The following is an 18,820-nucleotide window of genomic DNA, read 5'->3' on the forward strand; positions in this document are numbered from 1 at the left end:
AATTGTCTCCCATTTTGTAGGTTGCCTGTTCACTCTGATGGTAGTTTCTTTTGCTGTGCAGAAGCTCTTTAGTTTAATTAGATCCCATTTGTCAGTTGTGGCTTTTGTTGCCATTGCTTTTGGTGTTTTAGACATGAAGTCCTGCCCATGCCTATGTCCTGAATGGTAATGCCTAGGACCTCTTCAAGGAGAACTACAAACCACTGCTCAATGAAATAAAAGAGGATACAAACAAATGGAAGAACATTCCATGCTCATGGGTAGGAAGAATCAATATCATGAAAATGGCCATACTGCCCAAGGTAATTTATAGATTCAACGCCATCCCCATCAAGCTACCAATGACTTTCTTCACAGAATTGGAAAAAACTACTTTAAAGTTCATATGGAACCAAAAAAGAGCCCGCATCGCCAAGTCAATCCTAAGCCAAAAGAACAAAGCTGGATGCATCACGCTACCTGACTTCAAACTATACTACAAGGCTACAGTAACCAAAACAGCATGGTACTGGTACCAAAACAGAGATGTAGATCAATGGAACAGAACAGAGCCCTCAGAAATAACGCCGCATATCTACAACTATCTGATCTTTGACAAACCTGAGAAAAACAAGCAATGGGGAAAGGATTCCCTATTTAATAAATGGTGCTGGGAAAACTGGCTAGCCATATGTAGAAAGCTGAAACTGGATCCCTTCCTTACACCTTATACAAAAATTAATTCAAGATGGATTAAAGACTTAAACGTTAGACCTAAAACCATTCTTTTTCTTTTTTTGAGATGGAGTCTTGCTCTGTTGCCCAGGCTGGAGTGCAGTGGTACAACCTCGGCTCACTGCAACCTCTGCCTCCCAGGTTTAAACAATTCTCCTGCCTTAGCCTCCTGAGTAGCTGGGATTACAGGCATGTGCCACTTGTAATGCTAATTTTTTTGTAGTTTTAGTAGAGACCGGGTTTCGCCATGTTGGCCAGGCTGGTCTCGAACTCCTGACCTCAGGTGATCTGCCCACCTCAGCTTCCCAAAGTGCTGGGATTACAGGTGTGAGCCGCTGCACCCGGCCCAGCCACCGTACCTGGCCAAGATTTTTCTTTAAAAATGTCTTTTTTATTTAGACACAGGGTCTCACCTCTGTTGCCCAGGCTGGAGTACACTGGTGTGATCATAGCTCACTATAGCCTTGAACTCCTGGGCTCAAACAATCCTCCGACTTCAACTTCCTGAAGAGCTGAGACTACAGGTGCATGCTACCATGCCTGGCTAATTTTTTTATTTTTATATTTTTAGAGACAAGGCCTCACTATGTTGCCCAGGCTGGTCTCCAACTCTTGGGGTCAAGCAATCTTCCTGTCTCAGCCTCCCCAGATACTGATATTATAGGTGTGAGCTACCATGCCCAGCAGAGATTTTTCATAACATGTTTAAAGCAATACAGTAACTGGTTATTTTGAAGATTATTAGTATATATCCATAGAGGAATTGAGGGGGGAAAAGCAACATCTTAATGTTATACTAAAAGGTAATTATGCTTAGGTTACAATTTTCAGTGATAACATCACATACTAATTCAGAAAGTATTCCCTTTGCAGCAACATGGATGAATCTAAATAACATTATGCTGAACGCAGACACAAGAGTACATACTGTATGATTCCATTTATGTGAAATTCCAGAATAGGCAACACTAATCCGTAGTGACAGAAAGTCAATCAGTGGTTGCTGGATGGGGACAGAGGAGACTGACTGCGAAGGCGCACCAGGAAACATTTTGGGGTGGTGGAAATATTCTCTATCTTGATTGGGTGGAGGTTACATGAGGGTATACATTTGTCAAAGCACAAATTTTACACTTAAAAATGGATGTATTTTATATGTAAATTATTCCTCAACAAAAATTATTTTTTAAGTAAAAAAAAAATCTAAGTAAAAAAAGTTGGCCGGGCACGGTGGCTCACACCTGTAATCCCAGCACTCTGGGAGGCCAAGGTGGGTGGATCACCTGAGGTCAGGAGTTCAAGACCACCCTGGCCACGGTGAAACCCCATCTCTACTAAAAATATAAAAAATTAGCTGGGCGTGGTGGTGCGGGCCTGTAATCCCAGCTACTCGGGAGGCTGAGGCAGGAGAATCGCTTCAACCCGGGAGGCGGAGGCTGCAGTAAGCCGAGATCACACCATTGCACTCCAGCCTGGGCAACAAGAGCGAAACTCCGTCTCAAAAAAAAAAAAAAGTTGTTTGCTCTCTCTCTCAACTTAGAAGGGAGGGAAAGTGATGATATGCTTTGAGAGATTCTATTAGATGACTCAAAAAGCGACTCATGGTGAAAATACAGAAATCCAAGATTCATGTGAAGAGTTGAATATAGTTTACTGAAAATGTGAGTGTGGGGAAAATCAATGTTCGTGAATCAATATATTGTTTTAAATATGTGATTTAAAGTATGTACCTGTAGCTAAATAAACTATTATATGTGGACATTTGCATCTCTAAAAAGTTTATATTTTAGTTGCAAAAAAAAAACAACCCACAAAACAACTTGGAGTGACCCTATGATGAAAATGAGTGTTTGCCTTGTATCTGGAGTGGCCATCTCTTTCAGGCATATACAGTCTCTCACTTTGCTCTATCTCCACAGACACTAACAGGTTTCAGTAAAGCCAAGTGTCCCTTCTCAGTGCTCCAATGGCCCCCATCACACTGAATTGTCATGGTCTGTTGGCATTTCTGTACCCACTGCTGGAGTGGGAACTTGTTCTGACTCAGCTGTGCTGTCTTAGTGCTCTAGAGGATGCATCCGTGAAGCGTGTTGCAAGGAGGAGAGAGAAAAACAGAAAAGTGCAGGTCTGCCCTGGCCTGGGCTTTCCCCTTCTCTTCCTTTATTGCCATATGTTGCCTCAGTGATGCAGTCACAGTGTCCCTGCCACCTTTCAGAAGAAGATACATCTGCAGCCCAGCTGGAGAACCTCAACATCTGGGTCCCACTATGGGGGCCAATCAGCAGAGATACACCAAGGTCAATGGAGACAGCAGTCCCTGGGAGCAGCCGAGCCAGGTGTGATTTTGCCTTGAGAGAGAACACGAGGCTCTTGAGGGACAGATAACACAACCCAGGTGAGGAGGAAAGCAGGTGGACATGACCTAAGAAGTGTGAGGCCTGATGACTAAGTTGGAGCCACAGATAGATTTGGGGGCCAGGGGTCAGGAGCCTAAACAGCAGGTTGTGGGTGGAGTTCAAGGTGCACTGAGGTTAGTTCTTAGCAAGTAGTACTGGCTGTGTGCTGAGGTGCAGGCTGGCTCACAAACCCAGAGGAGGGGCTGTTCAGATGTCTAACACGAGAAACTGAGTAAAAATTAAAGAATGGTTTAGGCCAGGTGCAGTGGCTCACGCCTGTAATCCCTGCACTTTGGGAGGCTGCAGTGGGTGGATCCCCTGAGGTCAGGAGTTCGAGACCAACCTGGCCATCATGATGAAACCCCCGTCTCTACTAAAAATACAAACAATTAGCTGGGCATGGTGGCACGCGCCTGTAATCCCAGCTACTCAGGAGGCTGAGGCAGGAGACTTGCTTGAACCCGGGAGGCAGAGGTTGCAGTGAACCGAGATTGCGCCACTGCACTTCAGCCAGGACGACAAGAGTAAAAAAAAAAAAAAAAAAAAATGGTTTAAAGAAAAAGGACAATGTTTTACACATGGATCAAATTAGACACTGCAAGACTATAAATCTGCACCCTTCTAATGTGAAAAGGGCTTCACTGAGCTATACTTGTATATTATGCCCTCGATATTCACTCAAGGCCATTACAAGGAACAAATGAAAACGGCATCAGCATTTGCTATTAACCAGTTGAGAACATTCTCCACTATTTCAACTAAATAAGTATCCAGGTGAGAAACTTCTTTTATAATTTAACCCCAGAAATTTTTTTTACTCCAAAGAACCAGTTAACAGAATAGAAAGTGTTATTGTTTTGGCTATCAGGAAGCTCAGCCATGTTTAATTCTCAATCACATCAGCTACATTAACCCATAAACCATATTATCGTCCTCCTCCTTATAATCTCATCTCCTATTTCTATATTTTATTCTCTATTTTTAAGTACTCAAAACATTTTTAAAGGGCTGAAAAAGAATACACTTGTGGTAGACATAGCAACGTGCCACCCAGATCCCCTTCAAAGAAGGACTTGTTGACCCAACTATTGGGAGAGCTGTCAGCAGAAAATCTTCAGCTGTCAGCCCCTCGAAGATCATCTTGGCTGCAGAGTGCCATCTGGCCCAGGCTAGGCTCTTCCCAGGACATTACAACTCCTTTCCAGGCTAGTGCCAGACAACAGAGATCCTGGGAGTTGGCTGAGACTGTCATCAGGCCTGCATCTCAGTTTAGTTTTCCCTGTGCCCACTCCTGTTTCTTTCCAGTACCTCCCAGAGTGTTGATCCCAGGGCCACTCCCCAATAAACATACTGCACACTAACCTGTCACAGAGTCCACATCCAAAGAACCCAACCTGTGACAGCACCAAATCAAAAGAGACTCAGGAGGCTGAGGCAGGACTGCTTGAACTCGGGAGGCGGAGATTGCAGTGAGCCAAGATTGTGCCATTGCACGCCAGCCTGGGCGACGAGAGAGAAACTCTGTCTCAAAAAAAAAAAAAAAAAAAGAGAGAAAACATATCAGGTAGGGGTATTTTACAAAGGAGAGAGGATATACAATAAAGTGTTCATACATACATGGGAAGCAAAACAGCACTGACTCTGGGGCCAGACTACCTGGGTTTGAATCCTGCCTTTTAGCTCTGTGCCTCAGTTTTTTCATCTGGAAAATGGGGATAATAAGAGCACTTATAGGGCTGTAATGAGGAAGAAATGAGACAATGTGGATAAAGCAGTTCCATAGTGTTTACTATATGTCAACCACTGTTCTAAGTGGTCATTTAATAAACAGCTGTGAGGCCAAACCCACAGGTCCCGAGGGGCAGTTGGGCTGGGACTCTCCCCAGACTCTGGGCATGGGCACAGGTACAGTGTAGGCCAGGGCATGCTGAAGCATGCATGTTCACAGAAATAGGCCTGAGCAGGGCTAGCATGGGTGACGTCACAGGCGTGTGCTTGTGTGGGTGCTGGGCTGCTCCTCCCAGACAGCGCAGCTGCACGTATTGCCATTCACACCCACGCACCCATATATATGCTGAGCTGGGGGAAGCCCACACAGACCACACCCTCTGCATGCCCTGTTTTTCCTGCACCTCCTTTGGTGGAAGGAGGCACCTGAGGCCTGGGATGCTGGCCCAGAAGTCCCAGGAGGAAATGGGTCCTGTTCCCTGATTACAGGCCTGGCAACGGGCTGAAAACTCAAGCTCTTGTTGGCAGGGATTTCTTGAGCCCCTAGAGGTCCAGACCCAGAGGCAAAAGTAAAAGCAAGGAAGCCTTACCCTGCATGTTAGGAAGCTCCCAAAAAAATGGAGAAACGGATGTAAAAAGTGCATCAGAGCCCACAGGCTGCCGGAGTCAGCACAGTAAGCTCAATGAGGGCTGCAGCACTTAAGAGGGTGCCTCCTGTACAAAACAGGATCAGACAGCCAGAGAGGGGCCCCATTCAGCCCCCGTCTGCCTTCCTGGTCTCATCACTCCCTGTCCCCTCCTCAGTCAGGAAACTCTAGCTTTGTAACCCTAAATTCAACAACCTCTTCCTGGCCTCAGGGCCTTTGTACATGCTGTTACCTCTACTTGGAATGTACTTTTCTCCAACCCACCTTTAATAATTCACCTCGCCATCGACTCACTTCCTTTAGACCTCTGCTGAGGTCTGAAGAGATCTCGACCCAATGTTTTTCCTTCTAGCCCTCATCATAATTGTCTTTATGTAACAGAGTGTTTATTTAATGTCTGAACTCCCAGAGAGCTGGCGCTGTGTCTCTCTTGTGCTCCTCATGTTGTCAATGCCCAACACAGAGAAGAGCAGGGTCCACAGAACTTCAAGCCTAAGCCAGTTCAAGCCACACTCTGTGAGCACTCACGTTCTGCTGGATTCCCTGTGCCCAAGGCCAGCGGTGAGCATGCCTCCCCTCACCCATGCTGATTAACCAGATAGCCTCCATGCCCACTGACTACTGACCACCAGGACTTACCTAAGCCAGTGGATCTCCTGTGAGGCAGAAAACTCATGGAGTCAGGCCGACTTGGGTTCTAGTTCCCACCTAGTCATGTTATGTGGCTTTGGGGCAAATTGTAGAACTTCTCTGAATCTCTGTTTCCTCATCAGTAAATTGTGGACCATCATTCCTGATTAGAAGATAATTATGAGGATCAGGTGTGACCACAGGTGCACACCTTCAGCACAGGGTCTACGCTAGCTCCGTCCCGCCCACGTAAAGACCTGCCACTAGGTGGCAGTCCATCTCAGCTACCCCACCGCTCCTTACTCCACAGAGGCTGGCTAGGACAAAGGGTCTCAATGTCATGCTGAATTCTGAGCTTCTTAGGGGACGCACTTGAGGAAATCAACGTTAACACACAAGTTTCCACTACAGCAAGACAAAGTCAGAAGCAGCAGCCCCAGGTCACTATCCAGCTGAGTGGGTTGCCTGAGCACACGCTCTTACAAACTCTAGTCTAGTCCTACTATCTCACAATTCCCAGGAAGCCTGGCTCTTTCTCTGGCATCAGCTGGAAGCTCTGTTGGGCTTCTCACCTCTGAAATGCAGTAAGTTGTCCTGCTGTGCCTGGCAGCCGACCCACTGCCTGGCTCAACATGTCAGACAGGCTCCACCGCGACCGTGGGTGTCCTCAATTTTGGCGGTGCTGACAAGGGTAGATAGATTGCAGGGGTGAGTTTCAAGAATGGCTTCAGAAAGACAAAGAGTATGAATTATATTCCATAACCAGAAAAAGGCCTTGTGGCTGGAGAATGGAGAGTGAAGGATCACTTGTGAGAGATGAAACTGGTGAGATGGGCAGGTCATATAGAACCTGCTAGGCCAAGCAGGGAGTGTGGATTTTAGGTGCAATGGGAATTCACGGAGGGTTTTAGCCTGGATGTAGGGGATCATGATTTAATTTCATTTTAAAGATTTAAAGCATGATAAATCCAGGCAAAACCAAACTGATAGATCCAGGCAAAACCAAACAAGGTGAGTAGTCTGGGTGACAGGAGATGGGGCCTTCAGCTTGTGGGCTGAGTGACAAGGTCTTGATGGATTGGAGGTGAGGCAAAGGGAGGAATCAAAGTTAGCTGCAAGGTTTTTGACCTTCCAACTTAGAGAAGTTTAGCGCCGCGTTCTGAGAAAGTGAAGACTGTGGAAGGAATCGTTTGGGGAGGGAAGGCGAGCTGTCTAAGGGGGGGGGATGTGGAACATGCAGTGGGATGCTGGGGCCTGGAACGTAGGGGAGATGCAGGTTTGGAGTCACCGGTGCCTGTGTTGTTGGGCAAAGCCAGGGGAAAGGTCAGGTCGCCTTGGGATCTGGCCTAGCACTGAGTGCAGAGGAAGAGAAGCTTCTGAGATCGAGAGGCAGCGGCTACAGGAGGAGGAAGAAAGCAAGGCGGGGAAAACCAAAGTTCAGGAGAGCATTTGCAGGAGGGCGCTGCGGGGTAGGGTCTGAGTCGGAGCCCCGAATCGGACTCGAGTCCTGTCGCGTGGGGACGGAGCGTGCAGAGGCCCATGCGAGGGACAGACACAAAGGCCCTGGGAGCTGCAGGTCAGACCACTGGACAGCGCGGCCGCGGACCTAACGCCCCTGTAAGGGGTGCTCACGCTTGGGGGGAACTCTCCGAAAGAGAGGACCACTGAAAGCCACCCTGGCAGCAGGGGCGGAACAGACAGACGTGGGTCTGGCCGTCGCCAGAACTGCCTGCGGACCAGCCCCGCGCTGCCGGGGGGGCGGGACATGTCGGCTGTCCATCAGTGCCCGCGACCAATCCGCAGGCAGCCCCGCCCCCGCCCCTCCCGGGAGAGGGCGCGCGGAGGACCCGCCGCCGCCGGTGTGAGGCGGCCCGTCCTGGCTCCCTTGTCCGGGAAGCCCGCCCAGGTAACTGAGTTTGGCCGGGCATTCCCGGAGGACGCGCCATCCCCTCACGTCCCGTCCCGGTCGCTGCATGGGCGGTGTTCGGGACGCGGGGGCTGCGTCTGTGCGGGACCGCGGGGTAGCGGCCGCCCGTGCGAGTACGCCTGACTGACGCGCCGGCCGCCGGGCCTGCGGCCTGTGGGCGGGGCTGCCGTGCGTGACAGGGCCGCTCGTGGCCGCCGGGCTGTGTCCGGGGCCGCGTGAGAAAGCTCTGCGGGACTGAGGGCTGGGTGGGTCGACCGGGAACGGCGCGCGCTCCCGCCGCCATCGCGCCTCCGTCCCCGCCTGCGGCCTGTCTGGGGGTCGCGGGGCGCAGGCGCGGCGGGCCGACGGGCGGGGGTCCTCCCCACGGGTGCGCGGGCGCCTTTGTTCCCGGCGCCGAAGCGGGGTGGGGCCTCAGGGCAGCCCCGCCCCGCCGCGCTGAGGCCCCGCCCCGTGTCCGCCTGCAGGAGCCGCCGCCGGGTCCCGCTCGTCTGCCGCCTCAGCCTCAGCCCCAACCTCAGCCGCCGCCGTTGCGCTTGCTCCCGGGCGGTCCTGGCCTGTGCCGCCGCCGCCCCCAGCGTCGGAGCCATGGCGGGCGCCGCGTCCCCTTGCGCCAACGGCTGCGGGCCCGGCGCGCCCTCGGACGCCGAGGTGCTGCACCTCTGCCGCAGCCTCGAGGTGGGCACCGTCATGACTTTGTTCTACTCCAAGAAGTCGCAGCGACCCGAGCGGAAGACCTTCCAGGTCAAGCTGGAGACGCGCCAGATCACGTGGAGCCGGGGCGCCGACAAGATCGAGGGGGCCAGTAAGTGCGCCCACTTCCTGCCTGGGCCCGCCCCGCGCGGGGGTCGTGGGAGCCCGGCCCGACTGCTTGCACCCCGGCCGGCCGCCCCAGCGACTTGGGCAAACTTTCGGGCCCTCCCAGACTCCCTCCGGGCCCCGCCCCCGCTTCGTCTCGGGTGGTCACTGGGGGCGGGGGGCATCCGGGTCCTCGGTCACCTGACAGGACACCCCCCCTCCCCCAGCTGGGGGGAGTGTTCCAGGCGCTTTGCCCTGAGGCCTAAAAATCCTCGCGGGCTGGAGACCTGCGGTGCAGGCATCGGGCCCCCCAGACCCTGGGAGTGGTGGCGGCGTCGGCGAGGGGAGCTAAGGCAGTGGCCCCCACCCTGCACGGGAACCTGGGGCCTGACCAGACGGTCCCCGCCCACTCTTTATCCAGAAAGAGCAGTCTGTGAAACTCTCCGGGCCCCCAGGCTGGGCTCTTATTTGCAAAGGAATCTTTGGGTTCCCTAAGTAGAACTTAGGCAGATGTTGGGTAGGGCTGGTCTTGGAGCAGAGCTGGGCCTACTCATCTCCCTCTGGGGGAGAGGGAGGAAGGTGGTCTTGTTTGGTTTGGAGAAGCCTGAGAGAAGCCAGTGGCTGGAATTTTTTTTTTTTTTTTTCTGCTACTTTTGTCCCAAAGCTGGGTTTTGGAGGCCTATGTGGGTGGGCAGACACTCAATGCCAGGGCAGGGACTCCCCTTGCCCTGGGAAGCACGTTCCCAGGAGATGGGCCCCATAAAGGCCTGCCCCAGCGCCTTGGAGTCAGGTATTCTTCTCAGGAGTGCAGCTAGTTTGTGAGTCTAGCCCTTTGTCCTCTGTCCGGTGGCTTCAGGGAGCGGGAGCGGCTTCTCTTAGTTTCCTGCCTTTTCGCCTTCCCAGGCCTGAGCTTGGCTGCTTTTGCGCTGGTCTCTAGTGGGAGGAGGGAGTTGGGGGATTTTGAAAAACCCCAGATCTTTGAGAGTTGTTCCACTTAGCGCGTGCCTGTGCTGTGGTCGGATGGGCACTCTGCTCTGCCCTCCATTCCCCCGCCTCTCAGTGTGAAGAGATGGTGTGTCTGCAACTCTAGACTGGGTTGCTTCTTGCAGGGACCCCCGGAGACTAGGGTTAGAGAGACCCAGGCTCAGAACCAGGTCTGTGTGAAGGAGGGAGATCAGGAAGTGACACCCCAAGGGGGGGTCCCACAAACCTTCTTGGGTATGGTGTGCATGTGTGTAGATAGTTGAGGAGATTGGGAGGAAGGAAGGTCTTGTGGTGAGGCAGCCAACCATCCTCAGCTACAAACTCCAGATCTGACACAGATCTAATGCAGCTGCTCAACTTAGAAATGGCAGCCCCCTTCCTCAGTGCCCCCACTGACCCTGTCAGCCATTGGGAGAACATTTTAGTGACTTGAGAGCCTGTGGATTCCAAAGTAAAGGAAGAATCGACACTGCAAAGAGCTGAGATAACCCTGGGAACATCACTCAGGCATCAGGCTCCAGGCATGGTCCCCTTCCTTACTCCCTATGCTGTGTTGAGTTGGTGGCACTGGCTGGAAGTTCTCAGAGATCTCCTGGGTAACAGACTGCATTTTAAACCACGCATATTAGCAGGCAATAAATGTAGCACAGTGGTTGATGGCAAGTCTGGATTTGAAGCCCATATATTCATTGTGTGTTTCCCGGCCAGTTACTTACCTTCTCTGAGCCTTGATTTCCTCATGTGTAAAATGGGGGTAATAATATATCCAGTATATATGGTTGCTCCAGGATCAAATGAGACAATTCATATAAAACATCTAGCATTGTCTGACACATAAATGTTTAATAAATATGAGCTGTTATTAGCAATAACATTAACAATAGACCGTGGCTGCCCTTCAAGACCCTGAACTGGGAATGGTGAGGGGGTGAGGTGTGGCTATAGGTGAGGATGAAGGTGCAGGAAGGGAGGAGGACGGTGACCAAATTCACATTTCACTTAGATTGCTACTCAGAAAAAGGCAGGAAACAGTTTTGTTTTGCCCCAACCCATGTGCCCACTCACCCACCCACCATGTAGAACAGTGTTTCTGTAGAGAAAGTGTTTGCAGTTGTGCACATTTGACTCCTGGGTGTGACCTTTCTTGTTTGTAAGTTGGGGCCTGAACAGAAAAGAGGGGTGCAGAGAGGGGATGATTTATCATGCCTCATGTATTTGGGGGATGGAGGCAGGCATACAGAGGACCTGATAACCCCCTACCCAGGGGTGAGCAGGTGGGTCAGCCAGAGGTGTACAAATTCAGTGATCTCATCAGTTAGCTGGGATTTAACAGGCCTGGAGAGTAGGCAGAGGATGTAGGAGGACCCTGGCTTTTGGATTTTGGGGGCTCAGATTGAAAAGAGCCTGGATGAAAAGTCTGGTCGATGCTTGTGTGTTCAGACTTAACTAATGGAGGCTTCCACTGAAGCCGTGCCCTGCTTCTACCCATTCGTGGGCTCTCCTTGTTGGTGGGTTCTGATCCCTGCGGCCTCTGAGGAGGTTGGACTGCCAGCCGGGTTTTCTGCCACCTGGACTCTTGCCCAAGCACCTCAGGTATCTGGCCTTTCCTGCTGACCCTACCAGGGTACCAGCAGTGCCTGAAGCCTGGCCTAAGAGAGAGACACTGTGCTACCTTCAGGGTGTTGGTAGACCTGAGGGAGAGACAGTGTGGTTTAAGGAGCACTCATACTGATATGTAAGACCTTCTTCTGCCCTGACTCTGTGCCCTCTCTTGTCAGCAGTTGTGAAATGGAGCTGACACCTCCTGATTTCTAGGGTGGTCATTTGGCTCAAAAGCGGGGTGGGGAAGTGCTTAGGTGTTGACAAGTTTGGTTGTCCTGGTGGTATGACAGGAACCAGGTTGGTGTTTGGCCTTTTATGTTGCAGATACTGACATAAATGAATAAAATGCAGTTATGTAGAGTTCCAGCTGAGTGCTATTGAGACCTTTCGTCCCATTTTACAGATGAGCAAATGGAAATGGAGAATCGTTTGTGCCCAAGGTGTTGTGTCAGTGTGTGCCAGGGCCTCAGCTGGGGCCAGCTCACTAGTCAGAGGCTGACTAGCAACCCCAAGCCCATGTTCCCTGTGGTCCACGTGGCTCCTCTGTGAGACACCTTTGTGCTCAGACCATGCATTACAGGGCAAAGACCACTTTGGCTTTTGTATCCCAAGACAGCCTCAGCCTCTCTAGGCTCTGGCTCCACACTTTTTCTTCTGGTGTTTTCTGAGTTGAGATGGTTCAGACTCGTGTTTAATGAGGTTGTCCATTTGAGGGTCTTTGTGGGCCCAGTAAACACTGGTGTAGACACTGTGGAGGTACTCTGAATACTGGCTGAGCATGTCCATGGGGACTTCTGAGGCCCCAGGCTTCTGTCTTTGGCTGATCCTTCACTAGATACTTTTCTAGATGCCAGGCCCTCTGAGGTGAAGGAGTATGGGTGCTTGCTTTTAGGGAAATGAAAACAGGCAATGACAATTGTGAGCAGTACCTTTGATGAAGAGGGTGAGGGTGGCGGAAGAAAACAGCTAACTGCCTTGATGAGGCAGGCGGGCTCAGAAGGGAGGTAGTAGTGGAACCAGCTGGCTGGGGCTTGACCCCTGTGGCTGGGGAGCAGACCACACCAGGAGGCCTGCTCCGAGGGCTAGGCCCACAGCACGGGAGAGGGCAAGGCCCAGGCCGGTGTCATCAAGGGTTTTCTTTGTACTGGCTGTTACTCCCAGTGGGAGAGGGGCAGGAGCACATGTCCGGATCTCCAGAGCTAGCCATCCCTGCCTGTGTATTTCCTGTCTGATGTAGTTTTTTCCAAGGGAAGTCAGACCTTTTAGTGTTTCCTCAGCACCCCAGGCTTGCCCCGATGTGTGGGTTTCCAGGCCCCCCCGCCCAGCTGGGATCCTCTGTTTCCTGTGAACCTAGGAAAAGGGCCTGCTTCACAGATAACTGGAGGAGCTGAGCACACCCAGTCCTGGGACCCACAACACCTCCAGCTTCTCTCCAGACTCTTGTGTGTGTGTGTACACAGATGCACAGGATTCAGTTGGAGTTTAGAGATCTTGGCTACCAGCTTTGCTCTGGGTAGCTTCTTGGAATGAGGCACATTTATTAATATTTGCAATAAGTATTATTATACCTCCCCATTTGCCCAGTGCTAGGCACCAAGGATTCAAAAGTTTATTGAGACATGGTTTGTGCCATTGATGAACTCTTGGAAAAGACAGATGTAGAGGCATATGATTATAACCCTGTGTGTTACATACCATAATATAAAGGCCTCTACCAAGAACTGTGAGGAGCTCTGCCAGGAAGGCATTAAAGGAGAGGTGACCTTTGAGGTAGGCCTTGAATTACTGAGGCACCTGTCTGTGCCGAGGCTAAGGAACTGGGAATCACTCTGTGCAGGGGTAGGGAACAGATATGGTGTGGTAGAGAGGAAGCTGGGACTGGTTGGAGACAGCTATAGCCCTAGTGTGCCATGTCCAGCAGATTACACTCAGTCCTGGAGGCGACGGGAGTCAGCGGAGGCTGTTGTGGGACTGACTTGCCTCTGCCTGGGAGACCACAGTGGCAGTGGTTTGTCAGGCAGGTGTTGGGGAGGGAGGCCAGTGAGCTCCTACGGTTTGCACAGTTTGCAGGAGAGAGCTGCTGAGGGCCCAGACAAGACCTTCTTGCTGAGGCAGGGTGGGGATGCCATGGTGGTAGATGGGAGAAGGGCTGGGTCTTGAGGGGTGAGACAGAGCTTAGTAGTTAAGCATTTGGGCCCTAGACTCTGCTTGAATTAAAATCCTGTTGTGCAGCTTACTTGCTCTGTGACCTTAAAGCATATGACTACCTCTCTGGGCTGCTTATCTGTAAAAAGGATAGTATTAAATGGCATTTATTTTATAAGGTTTTTGTGAGGATTTGATGAGAACCTGTATAAAGTGCTTAGCACCTGTATAAAGTGCTTAGCATGGAGTGTGGCACAGTGTAAGTGCTTACTACGTAGGATCCCTGACAGGACAGAGATGAGGATTAAGTTCTCAGGAGGACCTGGTGGGGAGGAGTTCGAATGCACCTGCTGTCCTAAGGGGCTGGTGCCTGGCCACCAAGCCCTTTGATTCAGAGGCAAGGAGGCCCGCCCATCCTCTCTTGCAGCTCTCAGCAGTCCCTCTATTGTCAGGGCTCTTTCCCACTGCTGGTTTTGCAGGGAGACAGGGCAGTTGGCTGGAAGCAGCTGCTTTGGGTGGTAACCCCTTCTGTAGAGTGAAGGTATGATATTGTCCTATTTCTAAGTGCCTAGCCCAGGACGCTATCTGGAGAGATCTTGTCTTTGAGGAAGTGCTCTAATGCCACAGCCTCGATGTGGTAGGGCCTGCCTCTGCTGTCACTGTTCTGTGTCAGTCTCCGTTAACTCACAGCATCTCTTCTTACTCTGTGCCTTTTCCTGTGGGATGTGGCTTCAAGGAGACCACAGATGATAAGTTGGAGGAAGGGAGTGAGGCCTGAGATTGCAAAGGTGTGATATTAGGAGACTGATTTTTCCCCCTTTCCACTTGCTTTGTTAGAACTAGAGAAGTCACTGCAGACTGTGAGGAGAGTCCTAGGAGAGATGGGTGTGGGATAGGAGGATGGGAATGTTCTGGTGCCCCTTGTAGAGTGCCTTGTTGAGAGGAGCATGGGAACAGTGCGTCCTTGGAGGGAATCTCTGAGAGCAGCATGTTTACAGGTGGCAAGACTCAAGGTGGAGCCACGGGTGAGGAGTGGCTTCAGGCTACCATTGACCAGATAGTCCCACCTTGCTGGTAATTGAGCTGAAGTGCCTGGAGATTTGTGGCTAGAGCTGGTCAGATTTGGGTTCAGGTCTCAGCTCTTACTGTGACCTTGGGCAGATTACTTTTCCCTGTCTGAAATTGATCTTTAGCTGTAAAAGTAATTTCTCCTCACAGAGCTGTATATTAATAATAAGGGAGATTATATATAAGAGTAAGAGATTTTATGTGAAAACTACCCAGCACAACATTTGTCACTTAGTGGCCACTTAACAGTATTCATTTCCTTTACTCTCACCTTTGTTAACCACAGAGCTCCAATCTTTTCCACCACTAAGCTCGGCCACAAGTGGCTGCTCCAACAACCTGGGCTAGGAGTCTGTTTCCTACTTGCTTTCTGTGTTCCTTCCCTGAGTCTGTACACAGAGGACTGGGGCATCAAAAAACTCTGGAATTGGAATAGCATATTGGGAGTTCATGGAACATTTTCTCACCTGTTGTATTGTTTGAACTTCACAGCAGCTCCATGAATCCATGGAGGGCAGGAGTTACTATCCCTCTCTTACAGAGGAGAAAACCAAGCCCTAAGGGTAAGGTCACATAGCAAGTTCATGGCAGATCCTAGGATTTCAGATTCCTGCTATAGTATTCAGTTTATTCTCCCATTCTGGGGAAAATGATAATAGGATGGACCGTTCTATAGGAACAGAGGGTTATTTTGTTTTGTTTTGTTTTTCTTCCCTCTGGCCACATGTGTTTGACCAGCCTAGACTTCCATCTGTGGACAAGCTGGACTCATTGCCTCAATTTCAAAACCCGTCCTGCACTCATCCTTGCCACAACACCGGTGTCGAGATGCTTGGCCCACCCAGACCTTTCCCACACTCCTACATGGGGGTGAATGTAGCCGCTGATTGGGGGTGGGACACAGAAGAGCCTCACCCTCTTGACTTTCTGGTTTGTGGTGACACTTCCGCCTAAGCTTCTACAGAACATGGGAACCTGGGGCTCCATGCCCCAAATATCCTGAGAAGGGCTTTTCCAGGATTCTCTATGACAACTCAAGAGCATGCATTCATTCATGTGCTCTTTAATTTGTCATACATTTGTTGTGGGCCTTGCTACTGTGTGTTGGGCACACTGAGCTGGATGTGATTACTCCAGCCTCTGACTTGTTCATGGTGGCAGTAGATCTCTAGCGTGGTTTGTGTTCCATCTCACCATACCTACTCTCCTTAAAAAAAAACAAAAAACTAGCTTTCTTGGGCCTCAGTGGCTCATTGAATAAGTGAGAGACGACTTGTGCTTCCCTGGCTTTAGACTCTGGCATTTGCTAACTGTGCCAAGCACTGTGGAGACCAGTAGTGGACATAAGGTTAGGGTAGATACAGCCAGAAAGGAGATAAATAGGCAGACAGATAAAATTCTTATAGGATTTGGTGAGTTCTATGAAGGAAATAAGGCAAGAGGCTGCTCTGTCAGGGTAGGTGAGGGTGTGCTGTGATAACAAATGATGCCCACATATCAATGGCTGGCAACAAGGAAGGTTAATTTCCCCTGTTTGCTATGTGTGCTAACCTACACCACCGTCCCTGGAGAGTGGCCTCAGTGGTTCTGGGTGAGGCCTCTAGTACAGAACCTGAACACCCTGGGCAAACTAGGCTGGAGAGGGATTTGGAGTATGGAGGTTTAGAAGGAATTAATTTCTATGACTTAGGATGCATGTGGTGAGTGTGGCTTTGCTGTTGTGGTAGAGTAGAGTGCTGCCTGTGTGGGTCAAGAGACTGTCTTGGCTGACATCTTTGAAATAGGTATATTTGTGTGGCCCTTGCCTAATTGTCATCTCTGCCATAGCTGCCCCCGCCTTCCCCACCAACCCATGGCCCTACTTGAGCTGCCTGCTGAGCCTACTCTGTTGTGGCCACAGTATCCTCCTGCTGCCCAGAGTTTGAGTTTCTCGCTACTTCTGCCACTCATCACACTTGCTTCCCAGAGCTTTGCTGGGTGTGCTGAAGTCTCCAGAGAAAGTGGGGAATATGGGTGCCTAGAGACTTCTAGGGGGTGTTTTCAGCCCCTAGAGAGTAGAGAAGTGTGAGAAGGGGTTGGTCCCCGAATATTCTGTAGTTTTGGGGAAGAAGCAATGGGGACAGTGGAGTTGGTTGCCTTAAGAGAGGCTATGGTCCCAAGAGATGGGACTTGGAGAGTCTCTACTTGCATTCCTGGCTAAGCCCTTAATATTCTCGCACCCCTCCTTGCAAGACTAGTTCCTTTTGAGGTGGTTCTTGGCTAGCTTTTGAGAGGCTGCAGTGGCTGTGTGCCCAGGCTTAAGTCCTAGCTTTCTCCCCACTCTTTACCTCCTAGGAACCGGGCCCATCCTGGGGGAGGCAGGGAGGAGCTCCTTTTTATAGTCCACATGTAGGCTTTGTGTATAGGCTCTGCTGCTTCCTTCCGGCCCTGGCCCTTCCTGGTGTTGGCCGGTGGCCCTGGCTTCAGCAAGACTCAGGATGCAGAGTAAACGGGGCAGGGCGTTCTCCTACAGAAGACTGGCATCCCTTTTTACTGAGCCCAGGCCTGGCACAGAGGAGGCTGGAGTTAGGAAGCAAGAAAACGAGGTGACCCAGTCCTTGATCCTGAGAAGCTTGTGATCTGGACCATGCAGAAAACCGCTAATGCCCAGGGCTGGCAGGAGACAGCTGTGCCTAAAGTGCTGTAGGCTGGGCCTGAGGGCCAAGATGGAATCGCTTTTCTCCCTGTAGCAGCCCATCCTACCCCCTGGGGTCCCTCCACCTGCCAGCTGGCACACAGGTGTTGGGTAAAGCATCTGTACAAAGGCTGTGAGGGGCCTGGGCGCAAGGCAGCAAGGCTTGGGTACGGAGGAGAGTGGGTGGTCTTACTGATGTTCTGGGCCCTGACAGTGAACAGCTGGCCAAACTGGTGAGGAGTTGGGCCATGGCGAGTTTGGCCACTTGTTTGTGTGTGTTTAGTTCTTCCTGGGCACAGGTGGGGAGTTCACTTTGGGGTTGGCTTCCTGTTTTCTTGGACACCTGGGGATATGGTTGAGTTAAAATGTTCTGAGGGAAATGATTGTTGAGGGCATGGGCTTGGGTCATAGTGTCCTTGGCTTGGCCTTGCCCATGGTAGGAGTCGGGTATTGACCACACTGGGTTCTGGCTGTGTAGGTGTGGATGTGTGGTGGGAGAATTCCAACCCCACCTTGACTTCAGCCTAAGGCCCAGAGAGTGTGGGCCTGAGTTCACAGGGTGACTAACCCTAGGAAGGAGTGAAGGAGAGCTCCAGTTGGCCATAGGTCCCACAGGTTTCTCAGCTTACTTGGGGGCAGGAGGTGAGCTAAGGAATACAACTCCATTCCCTCAGTTGGGAGGTTGGGCAGCGATGGGGGCAGGGGTGATGGTCCTTCTCTGAGGCACTGAAGACCCACTTTATGGTCACCCTATTCTGCCTGATAGTCCACCACCTGTTTGGAGGCAGCTCCCCTCTTCCTGCCCTAGTCACTTCCTCCACCTTCAACAGTAATTGAGTATAATGTGCCTGTGTTAGCTTGTCCATCCTAACTGGGACTGTGGCCTTTTCTTGGGCGTTCTTAGCATATCTACCAAGGAGGTTGGAAAAGGTAACATATGTCACTTTGTTAAGGATTTTGCTGAGGGCCTTTTGAGGCCAGCAGTGAAACACAGAGCATTCCCTCCAGTGAGAACAGAATGTCTGTTGCCAGACTGATCACAAGAGGATGGCCTGGTTCTGGCCTGAGAACTGGTCTACACCGGAAGCATGAAGCTCCATACAATCATGTGTGCTAGTAAAGTTTGGGCAAGCAGCTGTCCTAAGCAGGTAAAACGATAGGTTATTCAACTTCAACTTCAGAGAAAGAAATCCAAGGTAGCCATCTCTCTCAGTAGGGGAGGTGAGTTCAAAGAATTTAAGCTGGGCTGGGCACGGTGGCTCACGCCTGTAATCCCAGCACTTTGGGAGGCCAAGGTAGGGGGATCACGAGGTCAGGAGTTCAAGACCAGCCTGGCTAAGATGGTGAAATCCCATCTCTACTAAAAATACAAAAATTAACCAGGCGTGGTGTCAGGCGCCTGTAACCCAGCTACTCAGGAAGCTGAGGCAGGATAATTGCTTGAACCCGGGAGGCAGAGGTTGCAGTGAGCCAAGATCGCGCCATTGCACTCCAGCCTGGGTGACAGAGC

At 51.1% G+C, this 18,820-nt stretch overlaps 2 protein-coding genes and 1 long non-coding RNA gene across 8 annotated transcripts in view, besides 12 other annotated features; 1 reads left to right on the forward strand and 2 right to left on the reverse strand.

Moving 5' to 3' along the window:
• The window catches only part of PLCG1-AS1 (PLCG1 antisense RNA 1), a 40,007-nt gene extending 31,021 nt beyond the window's left edge, over positions 1 to 8,986 (reverse strand). Inside the window, exons 1-4 of the long non-coding RNA NR_109889.1 lie at positions 8,700 to 8,986; positions 6,688 to 6,797; positions 6,125 to 6,278; positions 4,473 to 4,631 (exon numbers count right to left, since the gene is read on the reverse strand). This is a non-coding gene — a long non-coding RNA (PLCG1 antisense RNA 1). The remainder of the gene's footprint in view (positions 1 to 4,472; positions 4,632 to 6,124; positions 6,279 to 6,687; positions 6,798 to 8,699) is intronic.
• Positions 3,071 to 3,120: a silencer, noted in NCBI's record as "silent region_12914". NCBI's record gives its function as "represses an Ori minimal core promoter by ATAC-STARR-seq in GM12878 lymphoblastoid cells {active_cell/tissue: GM12878}" and the evidence as "EXISTENCE:reporter gene assay evidence [ECO:0000049][PMID:35858748]".
• Positions 4,829 to 8,499, reverse strand: LOC124904903 (translation initiation factor IF-2-like). The gene is made up of 2 exons (XM_047440629.1): positions 6,688 to 8,499; positions 4,829 to 6,278 (listed from the first exon to the last, which is right to left on the reverse strand). The coding sequence occupies exon 1, from the start codon at positions 8,323 to 8,325 to the stop codon at positions 7,744 to 7,746; it is 582 nt and encodes a 193-aa protein (XP_047296585.1). The 5' UTR covers positions 8,326 to 8,499; the 3' UTR covers positions 4,829 to 6,278; positions 6,688 to 7,743.
• Positions 4,984 to 5,163: an enhancer, noted in NCBI's record as "active region_17886". NCBI's record gives its function as "activates an Ori minimal core promoter by ATAC-STARR-seq in GM12878 lymphoblastoid cells {active_cell/tissue: GM12878}" and the evidence as "EXISTENCE:reporter gene assay evidence [ECO:0000049][PMID:35858748]".
• Positions 5,234 to 5,283: an enhancer, noted in NCBI's record as "active region_17887". NCBI's record gives its function as "activates an Ori minimal core promoter by ATAC-STARR-seq in GM12878 lymphoblastoid cells {active_cell/tissue: GM12878}" and the evidence as "EXISTENCE:reporter gene assay evidence [ECO:0000049][PMID:35858748]".
• Positions 7,044 to 7,828: an enhancer, noted in NCBI's record as "H3K4me1 hESC enhancer chr20:39764698-39765482 (GRCh37/hg19 assembly coordinates)". NCBI's record gives its function as "activates a minimal SCP1, AML or CMV promoter by ChIP-STARR-seq in primed H9 embryonic stem cells {active_cell/tissue: H9 hESC(primed)}" and the evidence as "EXISTENCE:reporter gene assay evidence [ECO:0000049][PMID:30033119]".
• Positions 7,799 to 8,788: a silencer, noted in NCBI's record as "silent region_12915". NCBI's record gives its function as "represses an Ori minimal core promoter by ATAC-STARR-seq in GM12878 lymphoblastoid cells {active_cell/tissue: GM12878}" and the evidence as "EXISTENCE:reporter gene assay evidence [ECO:0000049][PMID:35858748]".
• Positions 7,799 to 9,418: a biological region, named in NCBI's record as "H3K27ac hESC enhancer GRCh37_chr20:39766267-39767051".
• PLCG1 (phospholipase C gamma 1) overlaps positions 8,529 to 18,820 on the forward strand; it is a 40,084-nt gene continuing 29,792 nt past the window's right edge. For all 6 annotated transcript variants that reach the window (XM_005260438.3, NM_002660.3, NM_182811.2 and 3 more), the window contains exon 1: positions 8,529 to 8,844. In XM_005260438.3, the coding sequence (XP_005260495.1) occupies positions 8,628 to 8,844 (217 nt within the window). In that variant the 5' untranslated portion in view covers positions 8,529 to 8,627. The remainder of the gene's footprint in view (positions 8,845 to 18,820) is intronic.
• Positions 8,613 to 9,397: an enhancer, noted in NCBI's record as "H3K27ac hESC enhancer chr20:39766267-39767051 (GRCh37/hg19 assembly coordinates)". NCBI's record gives its function as "activates a minimal SCP1, AML or CMV promoter by ChIP-STARR-seq in naive H9 embryonic stem cells {active_cell/tissue: H9 hESC(naive)}" and the evidence as "EXISTENCE:reporter gene assay evidence [ECO:0000049][PMID:30033119]".
• Positions 8,909 to 9,168: a silencer, noted in NCBI's record as "silent region_12916". NCBI's record gives its function as "represses an Ori minimal core promoter by ATAC-STARR-seq in GM12878 lymphoblastoid cells {active_cell/tissue: GM12878}" and the evidence as "EXISTENCE:reporter gene assay evidence [ECO:0000049][PMID:35858748]".
• Positions 9,319 to 9,418: an enhancer, noted in NCBI's record as "active region_17888". NCBI's record gives its function as "activates an Ori minimal core promoter by ATAC-STARR-seq in GM12878 lymphoblastoid cells {active_cell/tissue: GM12878}" and the evidence as "EXISTENCE:reporter gene assay evidence [ECO:0000049][PMID:35858748]".
• Positions 9,567 to 9,646: an enhancer, noted in NCBI's record as "active region_17889". NCBI's record gives its function as "activates an Ori minimal core promoter by ATAC-STARR-seq in GM12878 lymphoblastoid cells {active_cell/tissue: GM12878}" and the evidence as "EXISTENCE:reporter gene assay evidence [ECO:0000049][PMID:35858748]".
• Positions 16,840 to 17,340: an enhancer, noted in NCBI's record as "H3K4me1 hESC enhancer chr20:39774494-39774994 (GRCh37/hg19 assembly coordinates)". NCBI's record gives its function as "activates a minimal SCP1, AML or CMV promoter by ChIP-STARR-seq in primed H9 embryonic stem cells {active_cell/tissue: H9 hESC(primed)}" and the evidence as "EXISTENCE:reporter gene assay evidence [ECO:0000049][PMID:30033119]".
• Positions 17,341 to 17,841: an enhancer, noted in NCBI's record as "H3K4me1 hESC enhancer chr20:39774995-39775495 (GRCh37/hg19 assembly coordinates)". NCBI's record gives its function as "activates a minimal SCP1, AML or CMV promoter by ChIP-STARR-seq in primed H9 embryonic stem cells {active_cell/tissue: H9 hESC(primed)}" and the evidence as "EXISTENCE:reporter gene assay evidence [ECO:0000049][PMID:30033119]".

This window comes from Homo sapiens, chromosome 20 (genome assembly GCF_000001405.40).
Source record: "Homo sapiens chromosome 20, GRCh38.p14 Primary Assembly".
Classification (NCBI taxonomy): Eukaryota; Metazoa; Chordata; class Mammalia; order Primates; family Hominidae; genus Homo; species Homo sapiens.

Excerpts from the sequence above, each read along its gene's own strand:
- LOC124904903 (XM_047440629.1), bottom strand. The coding sequence starts at position 8,325 with ATGGCGGCGGGAGCGCGCGCCGTTCCCGGTCGACCCACCCAGCCCTCA.